This window comes from Homo sapiens, chromosome 3 (assembly GCF_000001405.40).
Source record: "Homo sapiens chromosome 3, GRCh38.p14 Primary Assembly".
NCBI classification, from domain to species: Eukaryota; Metazoa; Chordata; class Mammalia; order Primates; family Hominidae; genus Homo; species Homo sapiens.
Window position 1 is genome coordinate 136611321 of NC_000003.12, and position 15342 is coordinate 136626662.

General features: G+C 39.3%; 1 protein-coding gene across 4 annotated transcripts in view, besides 1 other annotated feature; it reads right to left on the reverse strand.

The window, feature by feature from the left end:
• The window catches only part of STAG1 (STAG1 cohesin complex component), a 416143-nt gene that overhangs the window by 275085 nt on the left and 125716 nt on the right, over positions 1–15342 (reverse strand). For 2 of the 4 annotated variants that reach the window (XR_001739978.2, NM_005862.3), the window contains exon 3: positions 11826–11928. The exons of 1 other annotated variant lie outside the window; for it this stretch is intronic. Coding sequence is in view for 1 of the 3 variants with exons in the window: in NM_005862.3 (NP_005853.2) it covers positions 11826–11928 (103 nt within the window). In the remaining 2 variants the exon portion in view is untranslated. Of the gene's footprint in view, positions 1–11825; positions 11929–13884; positions 13952–15342 lie in introns of those variants that run through there. One more of the 4 variants, XM_047447228.1, reaches the window with a different exon arrangement.
• Positions 14354–14854: an enhancer, noted in NCBI's record as "H3K27ac hESC enhancer chr3:136344516-136345016 (GRCh37/hg19 assembly coordinates)". NCBI's record gives its function as "activates a minimal SCP1, AML or CMV promoter by ChIP-STARR-seq in naive H9 embryonic stem cells {active_cell/tissue: H9 hESC(naive)}" and the evidence as "EXISTENCE:reporter gene assay evidence [ECO:0000049][PMID:30033119]".

Here is a 15342-nt window from a genome sequence, read left to right on the forward strand (position 1 = left end):
GTGTTTTTAGTAGAGATGAGGTTTCTCCATGTTGGTCAGGCTGGTCTCGAACTCCCGACCTCAGGTGATCCGCCCGCCTCAGCCTCCCAAAGTGCTGGGATTACAGGTGTAAGCCATCGTGCCTGGCCATAATATTTTTAATAATTTTGTGCATGAAACAAAGTTTTGACCTTTTTACTTTTTCTTTTTTTTTGAGACACAGTCTTACTCTGTCACCCAGGCCGGAGTACAGTGGCACGATCACAGCTCACTGCAACCTCCCCTCCCAAGCTTAAGCAATCCTCCAGCCTAAGCCACCTAAGTAGTTGGGACTATAAGCACTAGCCACCACACCCAGCTTTTTTTTTTTTTTTTTTTTTTTTTTTGGTACAGATGGGTTTTGCCATGTTGCCCAGGCTGGTCTCGAACTCCTGAGCTCAAGATATCTGCCTGCCTCACCTCCCAAATGCTGGGATTACAGGGGTAAGCCACTGCATCTCGCCTTAATCTTGGTTTTAACTGTGACCCGTCACATAAGGTTATGTGTGGAATTTTTTTTTTTTTATAAGACAGAGTCTCGCTCTGTCGCCCAGGCTGAAGTGCAGTGGCGCGATCTCGGCTCACCGCAAGCTCCGCCTCCTGGGTTCACGCCATTCTCCTGCCTCAGCCTCCCGAGTAGCTGGGACTACAGGTGCCCGCCACCATGCCCAGCTAAGTTTTTGTATTTTTAGTAGAGACTGGGTTTCACTGTGTTACCCAGGATGGTCTCGATCTCCTGACCTTGTGATCTGCCCGCCTCGGCCTCCCAAAGTGCTGGGATTACAGGCATGAGCCACTGCGCCTGGCCTATGTGTGGATTTTTTATATGGCTATATGTTCGGATTCAGAAAGTTTCGAACTTCAGAGCATTTCAGATTTCAGATTTTTCTATTAGGGTTGCTCAACCGTAACTGGAGTCTAACAACATGTAGGCCTTTTAGACTAACATCTTTCACTTTAATAATATGCATTTAAGATCCATGTCTGGCTGGGCACGGTGGCTCACACCTCTAATCCCCGTACATTGAGAGGACAAGGCGGAAGGATTGCTGAGGCCAAGAGTTCAAGACCAGCCTGGGAAACAAAGCAAGACTCCTTCTCTACAAAAAAATAAAAAAATTTATCAATTGACAAGAAATACAAAGAAAAAAGAAAAAATATCTAAAGATAAAGGATAAAAAAAACAAAAAACAAGAACAAAAAAGTTAGCTGGACACGGTGGCATGTGCCTGTAGCTCCAGCTATGCAGAAGGATGGCTTGAGCCTAGGAGCCTGAGGCTGCAGTGAGCCATGAACGTTCCACTGCACTCTCTCCAGCCTGAACAACAGAGCAAGACCCTGTCTTAAAACAAAAACATTCATCCATGTCTTTTAGTGGCCAAATAGGTCATTCAAAAAAATTGTTGAATAGCATTCCATTCCATGGATGTATCACACTTTGTTAGCCATTTACCAAATAATGGGCATCTGGGTCACCACTGTTAGGCAATTACAAATAAAAAACATTCACAAGCAGGTTTTTCTGTGTACTTAATTTTTAAAATCAGCTATGTATATACCTAGAGGTATAACTGCTGGAACTTTGAGTAAGACTATGTTTAGCTTTGTATGAAATTGCCAAACTGTCTTTCAAAGTGGCTGTACCATTTTGCATTTCTACCAGCAAGAAATGAGAGTTTCTGGGCCGGGCGCAGTGGCTCACACCTGTAATCCCAGCACTTTGGGAGGCCGAGGTGGGCGGATCACGAGGTCAGGAGATTGAGACTATCCTGGCTAACATGGTGAAACTCTGTCCCTTACTAAAAATACAAAAAAAATTAGCCAGGTGTGGTGGCGGGTGCCTGTAGTCCCAGCTACTTGGGAGGCTGAGGCAGGAGAACGGTGTGAACCCAGGAGGCGGAGCTTGCAGTGAGCCACGATCATGCCACTGCACTCCAGCCTGGGCAACAAAGTGAACAGAGTGAGACTCCGTCTCAAAAAAAAAAAAAAAAAAAAAAGAAATCAGAGTTTCTGTGGTATCACATACCTCCCAGGAAACTGATATTGTCAGATTTTTAAATTTCAGCCATTCTAATAGGCATGTAGTAGGATCTCATTGTTGTCTTGATTTGCAGTTCCCAAATGACAAATGATTTGAAGCCTTTAAATAGTTAATAATTATTTTTTAAGATGGAGTCTTACTCTGTCACCCAGACTAGAATGTAATGATGCAATCTCAGCTCACTGCAACCTCTGCCTCCCAGGTTCAGGTGATTCTTGTGCCTCAGGCTCCCAAGGAGATGGGATTACAGGTGTGTGCCACCACACCCAGGTAATTTTTTTATTTTTAGTAGAGATAGGGTTTCACCATGTTGGCCAGGCTGGTCTCGAACTCCTGGACTCAAGTGATTTGCCCCGCCTTGGCTTCCCAAAGTGCTAGAATTACAGGTGTGCGCCACTGTGCCCGGCCAATTAATTCTTTACATTAATTTTTCTCCATTTGAATTACTGGCAATGATTCTCTCACCAGACTGGACCCAGACTGATTCTTTATATGTGCACTGTCCAACATGGTAACCACTATCCCCAAACATGGCTTTCAAAGAACTTATACTGGCTGGGCGTCGTGGCTCATGCCTGTAATCCCAGCACTTTGGGAGGCTGATGCGGATGGATTAGCTGAGGTCAGGAGTTTGAGACCGGCCTGGCCAGCATGGTGAAACCCCGTCTACACTAAAAATACAAAAAATTAGCCAGGCATGGTGGTACGCGCCTGTAGTCCTAGTTACTCAGGAGGCTAAGGCAGGAGAATTGCTTGAACCCGGGAGGCGGAGGTTGCAGTGAGCCAAGATTGTGCCACTGCACTCCAGCGTGGGCAACAGAGAAAGACTCTGCCTCAAAAAATAAACAAATAAAATAAAAAAGAACTTATATTATTTAAGATGTATTTTCAACATCCTAATACAATCTTGTCAATTGGTAGTGATGAAGGAACACTAGTGTTTTATATCCCATAAACAACAGTACAAATGAAATATCTATGGTCCATAGGGTTATTAATACAGAAATTAGAGTTCATTACTGCAGGTAATTCAAGGGACATAGTGATTTTAAAATATTTTAATGAGTATGTATAGGAAAGCAAACCTGAAATACCTGAAAGAAAGCCTGCAGCAACACAGTAAGTAATGAATTTCATGGAAAATATGTTACATATACATAGGAAGTCATTAATCTTCACTGTTCCTATATAAAAATGATGCAATCTAATCTCAGAATTTACAGCAATCTTTAGGACAACTGTATACTATTCAATTTAAATGTGTATCTACATTTCTAGTAAACTGTTTTAAATACACAAATTAGCCCTGCTGTGTAGGAAAATAACTTATCCCAAATACTCTATTCCAAAGCTCTAGAATAGGTTAAGTTGCAGTATGAATGTGCAATGACTTTCCTAGAAGTTTTAAGAAACAAAGATACAAAAACATTCTTTAACCTTTGTGCCTTATCTGGCATAATGAGCTGTGAATGTGAAATAATCCACACCGTATCACAAATAATATATATTAACTTTTTTGGGGACTGCATAATGCAAAAATTTTATACATACACAATTAAAAGATAAAGAGATAAATACGTGCAATATAAAATAATAAACTATAGTATACAAAGATACTTTTAATGGAATTTTGGTTTATGATAAGTGCTAAAAACCTTCTAAGAGAAACATTATTTTTAGTACCGAGAAGCAGGAAAAGTTTCACAAAAAAATTATGCTGCAAGTTGGGACTTCATGAACTCATAAAATTAGTTAAGAATTAGTATTAGTAAGATTAGCATATGTAGAATTTAGAAAACAAGGGTTCCAGAACGAAAAAACACAATGAGCAATGGTGTGAATGTGGGAAAGCAAAAGCCATACATGAAAAAACAAGAGACAGATAGATACCTGACTAAAAAGTTGTGAACAGGGAAATACAATAAAATATTAGGTGTAATATTAGGTTAGTTGAAGATACCCCACACTTTTTCATAAAATGGCATTGCCTGTGAGCTGAGATCGTGTCACTGCACTCCAGCCTGGGTGACAACAAGACTTTGTCCAAAAAAAAAAAAAAAAAAAAAAAAAAAGGAGTGGGGGCACTGCCTGCTTTTTGAATAAGAAAAAACATATTCGTGGCCGGTCGGTGGCTCACGCCTGTAATCCCAGCACTTTGGGAGGCCGAGGCAGGCAGATCACGAGGTCAGGAGATTGAGACCATCCTGGCTAACACGGTGAAACCCCATCTCTACTAAAAATACAAAAAATTATCCGGGCGTGATGGTGGGCACCTGTAGTCCCAGCTACTTGGGAGGCTGAGGCAGGGGAATGGTGTGAACCTGGGAGGCGGAGCTTGCAGTGAGCCAAGGTCGTGCCACTGCACTCCAGCCTGGGCAATAGAGCAAGACTCCAAATCAAAAAAAAAAAGAAAATGAAAAAAAAGAAAAAACATATTCCCACCCGGCACTATTAAAAAGGATGAAATAGAAAAAGACAAAGACCAAAGGTAGGAAGCTAACAGTACAGCTGCCAATAAAGTAAGCCCTAAAGATACAAACTTGGGAAATGTAAAATAAAGGACAGATGTGGAAGACACAGTGAGCTTATAAAGTAAAAGTCATCAGACGCTGGGCGCAGTGGCTCGCACCTGTAATCCCAGCACTTTGGGAGGCCAAGGCGGGTGGATCACGAGGTCAGGAGATCAAGACCATCCTGGTTAACACGGTGAAACCCCGTCTCTACTAAAAATACAAAAAAAGTAGCCAGGCATGGTGGTGGGCACCTGTCGTCCCAGCTACTCGGGAGGCTGAGGCAGGAGAATGGCATGAACCTGGGAGGCGGAACTTGCAGTGAGCCGAGATCGCGCCACTGCACTCCAGCCTGGGCGACAGAGCAAGACTCCGTCTCAAAAAAAAAAAAAAAGTCATCAGACCTCAAATTTCAATAGATAAAGGAGACAGGACAAGAGACTTGGAGATGAGGAAATGTAACAATGACTCAGGTCTTAATTCTGTGTTCTTGGAACTGTGGTAGTCTTTAACATAATTAAGGAAGTCAGAACTAAAAACTAGTCTAGTCAGTAGAAGAAAATTCTAAATGAAAAATTAAGAAAACAACAAAGACAGCTTAAAAAGAAGTCCAACTAATATACTTCCTAAAGTGATCACAAAAGAGTGCACATTTAAGCTCCAAAAAAATTTTTTATAGAGATCTTTGTTTCTTAGAAAAATAAAAATAGAAAAAGTAGTACAGAAAATTATAAATAGGCTGGGCCCAGTGCCTCATGCCTGTAATCCAGCACTTTAGGAGTCCTACTGGGCAGACTGCTTGAGCCGAGGAGTTTGAGACCAGCCTGGGCAACATGACGAAACCTTGCCTCTACAAAAACTTAGCCGGTGTGGTGATGCATGACTGTAGTCCCACTCCAAAGGCTGAGGTGGGAGAATCACTTGAACCTGGGAAATCGAATCTGTGGTGAGCTGTGATCATACCACCTTTATTCACAAATAATGAACAATATAGAAAGTACTGATTTAAACTTCACCACTTAAAAATTAGAAAAGACTTAACCATTATAAGCAGTAACATAGCATATACCCATATATTTTGCTGTGTGAAAGGCAATAATATATGTCAAAAGCTTTCAAAACAAACAGCATATACTAACAAACTTCACTTCTAGAAATTTAGGATTAAAAAAAACAATGGCTATACAGCAAAACTTACTTGCAAAACAGTTCATGTCAGCATGGTTTAGAATAGTTAAGAATTTTTAACATAAATGCTCAACATGGCACCAACTCTGCAATTGGTTTGTCAGTGTCCCACATTAACTCCCTGGGCCTGGTCATTCAGTTTCCAGCCTCTGCTGAGTCCCTCATACTATTCCAAGTGTAGCAGGGGAAATTGAGAGGCCCTTCCTCAAGCTCTGGTCTTAATGGAGGTACAAGGGAGACATCTACAGGGAACCATGAGATCATTGGTGTTGGAAATGCTAAGTCAGTCCTTCTTTAGGCTGGATGTTGGTAGTGGTCATCACAAAGTCCATATATTTTATATCCAGGCCTTCACCTGGCCTATGGACTTATACCCATGTGCCTGGTTTATCAGTTCAATGGTTCTTCAGCCCATTACAGATAAGGAGCTATACTGAAGATCAAGGAGGAACCACTGGAGTCTGAATGTTCCTGAAAGATTGACTTAGTCCTAGCTTAGTCCTCATAAAACCTGGTAACAACAGGGTTGGTACTTTTACTCTCTATTTTACAGGAGTTATAACAGATTGTTAAAGGACAACCAAGAAAGGACAAAAGAAGTGACAGTCAGAGGTTGAGAGGAGCCAGAAAAAATCTAGCAGACATCTGCCACCACATTGTAACATGGTGGTTCCTATCACAACGCTGGGTCAAAAAGAGATTGATTTGATTTATAATGCTAAACCAAGAGGGTGGGCAAATAAAAATTTTGGTATTTAAAAGAAAAAAAAACTTTGGAATTTGAATATTATGAAATTCCCAACAGTCTACATTAAACTACCAAATAATTTTAAAGATCCAATTTTTATAAGTGACCTGTTAACTTACCCTTCTGGTACTCATTAATCTTTTGTTGTGCATTCTCCATCTTCTATGTATGAATAGACATTTAAAAATAAAAACTGTATCTTTTTATTGTTAGATATGAGTTCTAAATTTCTTTTCAAAGAAAAGTATGTTCAATTCTTTGCCTTCTACTTTTAAACTTAACTTCCTCATAAAGCAACCTTTTCCAATTACCTGCTCCACCCTGACTCATTCCAATCACCTGCTCCACCCTGACTCATTCCGATCACCTGCTCTGTCATAACCATTTTTCCCACCAAACCACTCACCCCGTCACTCTCTTTAAATTAGCCAATCGGAATTAGTTTAGCCTGGGTGGTCTAACCCTAGCCAATAAGGGAATGACACAGCAGCAGGCGCCACATGCGTCAGGGATAAGAACCCCTTCCCCTCCCTTGTCCAAGTGTGCACTCACCATTGTTCCATCTGTAAGGGCGCACCCTTCTATAGAAGTACCTTGCCTTGCTGAGAATTAAAAGAACATTTTATATTCAAGTGCTATTTCTTTTGCAGCACTGAAACTTTATATACAACATTATTTACCTCTCCTACTCAGCCTATGCAAATATGAAAGTTAAATAATGTTGAGAATATAGAAGTGCTGGTTCTCACTAAGAGAAAAAAATCCATAATAAAACACGAGAGACTAAAGAGGGGTTAAGGTTAGAGAGGTGCTGATTTACATGACAACTACAAGCAACATAAAATCCTGGACTAGACCCTGATTCAGGAAAAGAATAGTTTTTCTTTTCTTTAAGGGATTAGATTATGACAACTGGCAAAATCTAAATGAGATGTATAGATATCATTCTTATATCAATATTATTTTCATATTTTCATAACTGTACTGTGGTTATGTAAGAAAAAATGTCCTTGACTGCAAAGAAATACACACTAAACTATTAGAAATAAAGTGCTGCGAAGAGATATTCTACAAAACAATACTGAATTTAAAAAAAAAGTAACATCATGTCTGCAACTTACTCCAAAACAGTTCAAAACTAATAGATACCAAAATACTTATCTCTGCATATGTCATAAAAAATCCATATTTACATGTGTATATGTGTGTACATACATAGAGGAGAAGACAGAAGCAAAGAGTGGGAATATGATAAAGCAAATGTAGTAAAATGCTAACATTAGGACAATGTGCATGAAGGACAGCTGACAATTCTTCATAGAATTCTTAGAATCCTTCTGTGTTGGAAATTATTTCAAAATGAAAAATTTTTTAAACACCAAAGGGCAGGGGGTGGGGCAGTGCTTATTTAACAAAATTAAAACACCATTCACTCATTAAACATTTACTGAACACTTACTGCAGGTCAGACACTAGTAAATAGCAGAAGACACACTAGATAAAAATTCCTGCCTTCACACAACTTACATTCCAGTTGTAGGAGAGAGACAATAAGCAAGTAAGTAAAATGTATGTTACGTTAGCGCAAGGGGAAAACAGTTAAGTCATATTGGGTAGAGGTGGCGATTTGCAATGTTAAACACATCTTTAGGCCTGGCGTGGTGGCTCACGCCTGTAATCCCAATACTTTGTGAGGCTGAGGCTGGTGGATCACTTCAGGTCGGGAGTTCAAGCCAGCCTGGCCAACATGGTGAAACCCTGTCTCTACTAAAAATACAAAGATTAGCCAGGTGTGGTGGCGCATGCCTGTAATCCCAGCTACTTGGAAGGCTGAGGTGGGAGAATTGCTTGAACCTGGGAGGCAGAGGTTGCAGTGAGCCAAGATCGTGCTACTACACTCCAGATTACGCAACAGCGCGAGACTCTGTCTCAAAAAAAAAAAAAAAAAAAAAAAGGAGAGGCCGGGGTAGCGGTTCCTGCCTGTAATCCCAGCACTTTGGGAGGCTGAGGTGGGACGATCAGTTGAGCCCAGGAGTTTAAGACCAGCCTGGACAACATAGTGAGACCCGGTCTTCACACAAAAATAAATCAGCCATGCGTGGTGGCGTGCGTCTGTAGTCCCAGCTATTCAGGAGGCTGAGGAGGTGGGAGAACTGTTTGAGCCCAGGAGTTTGAGGATGCAGTAAGCCACAGTTGCGCCACTGCACTGCAGCCTGGGTGACAGAGTGAGATCCTGTCTCAAAAGAAAAAATAAAATAAAATAAAATAAAACATAAAATAGAAGTAAAGGAAACAATACTGCCTATAATAGAAACTCCTTATATTATTTGTTTTTGACTGGCTAAATGAAAACCAAAGATACAAGAAATGCCTTTTAAAAGTAATAAATTTTAAAAGGATTAAACTTAAAAAAAGAAGTGATGAATAGTATTACTACAGCTAAACAAAGAATGCTATCAGTTAAAACTTGATTTATTGTTCAAAATGCAGCTAGTTGATAGAAAATGTCCAATATTTCTTCATAATAGGTACCTGAGGCAGGACTCCAATCTGATCATTCTGACAATTATAACTCTCAAGATTAATTAACAGCTTGGCATTCTGGCTTCCTTAAGAGAAACAGTGTGGGAGTTATCATATAAATTCAAATCCTAGCTTTCCCATTTACTTGCTGTGTGACCTTAGGCAAATTACCACTTTTTAACTTCATATTCTACTCTGTAAACTGCATCTAAGACCTATTTCATAACACTAGTGTGAGGATTAAATAACATAAAAAGCCAAAACAAAGCTCAAAGTAGAAATTCAGGAAGTTGTTTATGTTACATTGTTGGCACAATCAAGAAATGGGACTGATTGAGTTAGGTGGAAGTACAGACAGCCATGTGAACTAATTTGTGTGAATGTATAGACTGAAATATAAATAAAACAAATTTCTAGAATACTACTTTCTTATACTGGTTGACATTTTTTCAATACTGTAAATATGGCATGAACATGCACTATTTACTTACTAGATTATGTAGTAGTAACTTCAGTAAAAATCAAGTATTTCCTACCACAAAAGGGTTAAGCATTTGGGTACACAGACTTCTTTTCATCAAAAAAGCACAACATTGGTGAAACCCCATCTCTACTAAAAAATACAAAAAATTAGCTGGGTGTGGTGGCGCACGCCTGTAGTCCCAGCTACTCAGGAGGCTGAGGCAGAAGAATCACTTGAACCCAGGAGGCACGGGTTGCAGTGAGCCAAGATCATGCCACTGCACTGCACTCCAGCCTGGGCGACAGAGTAAGGTTCCGTCTCAAAAAAAAAAAGGTACAACATTACAAGGATTCAGCTGTACACACATAAAACTTAAACAGGTTCTAACGAATTATACAATAGCCTGCTGGTGGGGTGGTAAATTCTCTTTAGGAAAAATAAAAAAGTTTCTTTAAGGAGACAGTACTTAATCTGAATCCTGTAAGTGAAGAATTTCAAGTTGGGGAGAACAAATTCAAGTAAGCAAACATGTGGGCAATTCATTCTCCTACCTTTAAGCAAATCTAGTCTTATTTCCAATTCTGCAGTTATATCCTGAGATTGCCAGGATAGCAATGAAACTTGCCTATGGTCTCAGAAAAATCACATGGTAGTAATGGGAACTAGAATAGTCAACAGCTTCCAAGTGCAAAACTCTCACTTTTCCCAAAATACGTTTGTAAAGAATACTGTACCACCAAATACTTCTACAAATGAAGAAATAATACAAAAAGTTACTATACTGCATGTCTTCCCCCATTATTTTTTTCCTTTAAATAAAAGTAGAGGATAAAAGCAAGTGTATAGCAAAATACAAGAAGTCTTTCATCTTGTTTTTTATTTTAAGGTTGGCCTGGAGGAGTAATTAATTAAAAATTCTGGCAAACAAGAGGGAAAAATGACTTAACTTATCAAAAAACCAGTCTTGTTGTGTAACTCACTGTAAAAGACATATAGACAATAACTGGTTAAGCAACATAACCATCAGTTGCAGGGGGTGGATCATTCCTGTGTCATGACTCTAACCACCGAACTAGATTTTAAATGTTCATAAGATGATTACAAACTATAAAACTGGCTATTTGGTGATATTAATAAAATATTTTATACTGGGACTTCACAATGATATTGTGGTGGTGTGGAAAAAAAAAAAAAAAAAAAAGAGGGCTGGGTGCGGTGCCTCAGGCCTGTAATCCCAGCACTTTGGGAGGCTGAGGCGGGTGGATCACCTGATGTCAAGAGTTCGAGACCAGCCTGGCCAACATGACGAAACCCCATCTCTACTAAAAAAAAAAAAAAAAAAAAAAAGAAAAGAAAAAATTAGCTGGGCATGATGGTGAGGGCCTATAATCCCAGCTACTCAGGAGGCTGAGGCAGGAGAATCGCTGAACCCAGGAGGTGGAGGTTGCAGTGAGCCAAGATTGTGCCATTGCACTCCAGCCTGGGCAACAGAGTGAGACTCGATCGGTGGGGGGGAAAGAAGAAACAGGCCCTTATTTTTAGCAATACACACTAAAATATTTACAGATGGAATGATGTCTAGAATGACCTTAAAAATAACATAGGATGGAAAAAAAGGAGGAGGGGTGATGAGATGAAACAAGATTGGTCATGATTTGATAAATGCTAAATCTGGGTAATGGCTATATGGTGGGTTCATTATATGATGTCTCCTATTAAAAGGAGGCTAAGAGTTTCCATTAGAAGAATTTTCATAAAATAGAAAAGAATTACTAATAGCAAATCACATCATAAAAGCAAACATAGAACAGTATAACCCTTAACCCCTTGACAAGCAGATAACAGTATCTTCTATAGGGTTTATGCATGCTTAAATTATGACTGATGCTCGTACAATACATTAAGCTATCTCTCAAAGTAGGATTATCTAGAGCTCTTCTAAACTTCCCAATCAGGTTATCAATGAGAATATACTCTGAGACTGGCCCCAAACTCCAAAACAGTACTTGGGAGCTCATAAGAAATCAGAGTTGCATCTGAAAAGCAGCAAGTCTTAACTAACTAAACCTCATTCACTGTTAGTGACCTTCTCTATGCCTTCACATGGACTACCATTTATTTACAAAGAGAAGGAGGGCAACAAAATCATACTACAATCATCTCCTTTTTCTGATCACTGCCAAGACAATTTATGTGAAAAAAAGTTTCCAATCTCTATTGTGTCACTGAATTTTTTTTAAGTATTAACCATACTAGCACTAGAATTAACAACTCATATAAACTCATTAACACGGTCACTATTAAAGGAACAAAGAAGACAAGCATAATACATACTGGAGGCCGGCCAGGACGACCCCTTTTTCTTTTTCCTTTGACCTCTGTTTCTTCAAGCTCGCTGCCAGCATCGGAATGGGCAGTAGTTTCATTAGTTGAATCCCTAGAAAATGTTATATTATTTTAGCGAACAAATTAATAAGTATAATGCATTTCTGTTTCACTACTTTCCTTACCACCTGCTATATGGCTGATTAGAAGTGGTTTATACTTCTACTTTCAGAGAAACTCTCTAGCAAACTAAAAATGTTATCCTCCCTTCCTAATTTCACATAACAGTGAGTGAAATGAATCCCCCAAATAAAGAGGGAAATGAAGAGGAAGAAATGATTGTGGAAATGATAGCTGCTATACAAAAATAAATGCAAAATATAACTGCAAAAGACTAATTCTTCAGTACAAAAATATGAAGGCTTAGGAATATTTTTATTTATTTTGTTTATTTTATAAAGTCATGAAGGGCAGTGTTATGCCAGTCTTTTCAAAAAAAAAATACAAACACCTAAGTTATAAGTATTAAGACATACGGCCGGGCACGGTGGCTCATGCCTATAAATCTCAGCACTTTGGGAGGGTGAGGCAGGCGGATCACCTGAAATCAGAATTTGGGACCAGCCTGGCCAACATAGTAAAACCCCATCAGTACTAAAAGTACAAAAATCAGCCGGGCATGGTGGCGCATGCCTGTAATCCCATCTACTCAGGAGGTTGAGGGAGGGGAATCATTTGAACCCGCGGAGGTTGCAGTGAGCCGAGATTACGCCACTGCACTCCAGCCTGGGCAACAGGGCAATACTCTGTCTGAAAACAAAATAAACCAACAAAAAAGACATAAAGGATACTTAGCATATAATTTACAAACAATAATAAAACACAAAACACTCTTTATTGTAAATTCCACATAACCGATTCTCACAAAATAATTTTAAAGATAATTTTTGCCCAACTCTTATATTGGAATCTTTTTTTTTTTGAGACAGTCTCACTCTGTCGCCCAGGCTGGAGTGCAGTGGCACAATCTCAGCTCACTGCAAGTTCCAACTCCCGGGTTCACACCATTCTCCTGCCTCAGCCTCCCAAGTAGCTGGGACTACAGGCACCCGCCACCAGGCCCGGCTAATTTTTTTTGCATTTTTAGTAGAGATGGGGTTTCACCGTGTTAGCCAGGATGGTCTCGATCTCCTGACCTCATGATCCACCTGCCTCGGCCTCCCAAAGTGCTGGGATTACAGGTGTGAGCCACCGTGCCCAGCCAATTATTGGAATCTAACCTACAGCTGCAACTGATGAATGAATAGGAATTTTAACATGAAAGGTGGTTTCTATTTTTGTTCACTTTAATGAGTAGGATGCAAGTAAAATTATAAAGACATTTGTTGAAACTTCATTCATTAGTCAATGGTGTGAGCAACTTCTCTGCTGACTCAGATAAGGGCTGAGGAAACATGCTTCCTCAATTTTTTGTTATTGTATTGTAATGGGTATAGACCATCCGATACACCTTTAAGTTGAATCTGCATTGTTAACAATTTCTCTATCACTTTCTTAAGTCTATAATCAACAAAACAATAAATTAAGCATTGATTTTTATCATTTGCTGATTTTCACGGTGTACATATTCCTACCATAGCCAATTTCAAATGACCAAAGTGGCATAACCAAAGTGAGGTGGGAAGTGACAAACAGTAGTACAGCATTAAAACATATTTCTACCACAAAGACACAACAGGTTTAAATAACAACTTCAAGAGCATAAATAGTAACATGAAATAATTAGGAAGTGATGAATTTTGAGTATTTACTATTTTTATTTTTCATATGACATTTAATTTAAGCTTATATAAGTTAACTTTTTAAAACAGATATGTTGTGTTTAGCTACCTTGCAAAATTCCTAAAAATTTAATATTTAACTCTCACAGGCCAATACAAGCTGGCTTCAACACAGCATTGAAAAGGTTTAGACAGCATGAACAAGAATCTCTTCACTAAATTCTACATTACTGCATAAAATTGTAAAGAGTAGGAAAAGTACATAGCAAATGGTAAGTCCAACTCACAATCTACTATTTCTCAATCTCCTTCACCAAATGCTCTTTTAGGCTCATTCCCTCTTCCTTAAAGCTCAACTGTTAGGTCTGCTCTTCTCCATTTATATTACACTCCCTTGGAGATTTCATCCAGTTAATGTGTAACTTCTATGCAAATGACTTCAATACCCTATCAGTACACCTGACCGCATTCCAGATCTCTGACTCAGGATTTTTATCTTGCATGCATGACATACTTACTTGAATGCCACCTCAAATTCACCAAATGCCACATCTAAAATTGAATCCAATCCTGACTTACCTCTGACTTTCTACTCACAGAGATACAATTAATTAACTGATTTAAGTTATGCATACGTATGCTTTAAGTTATTATACAAATTTATTGTCACCATTATCCTGTCTATAAACTCGAATTGATAGAATGATATCAGTCTTCTTGTGCCTCCTGCTAACATAATCCTACCTCAGCCATCCTTCTCAGAACAATATAATCTGTTTCTCACTCTTTCCAGGATTATTACCACAATCACCACTCCCCATGATAATCTCAATTTATCTCCCTACTGCTGCTTATTCAAGCCATTCTACACACCGCTGCCAGTAATATTCTCACATCATTACTTACCCACTTGTAAATCTTCAAAGTTATCATATTACTCTAACTTATATATCTTTAAAGTTAATCTGGTATTTAAAACCATAAATAAGACTGGGCGCAGTGGCTCATGCCTGTAATCCCAACACTTTGGGAGGCTGAGGCACGAGAATCGCTTGAACCCGGGAGATGGACGTTGCAGTGAGCAGAGATAGCACCACTGCACTCCAGCCTGGGCGAAAGAGTAGAACTCTGTCTCAAAAACAAACAAAACAAAACAACAAAAATGAAACTATAAATAATATTGTAAATGATGTCCAGGGTCAGCAAGCTTTTTCATAAAGATCCATACAGCCGGGTGCAGTGGCTCATGCCTGTAATCCCAGCACTTTGGGAGGCCAAGGCCAGCAGATCATGAGGTCAGAAGTTCGAGACCTACCTGGCCAACATAGTGAAACCCCTTCTCTACTAAAAATACAAAAATTATCCAGGCATGGTGGTGTGCGCCTATAGTCCCAGCTACTTGGGAGGCTGAGGCAGGAGAATTGCTTGAACCCACGAGGCGTAGGTTGGCCGAGCCAAGATCACGCCACTGCACTCCAGCCTGAGCAACAGAGTGAGACTACATCTCAAAAAAAAAAAAAAACCAAAAAAACAAAAAACCATACAGTATATATTTTAGGCTTATGGGTCTTAAGTTCTCTATAGCTACTACTCAACCCTGGTGACATAACATAAATGCAGCCATATGCAATATGCAAATTAATGGGTGTGGCTATGTTTCAACATTTTATTTAAAAGAGGCATCTGAACCACTAGCAGTATTTGCCAACCCGGATCCAGTCAATCTTATTTGTCTCTACTAAAGA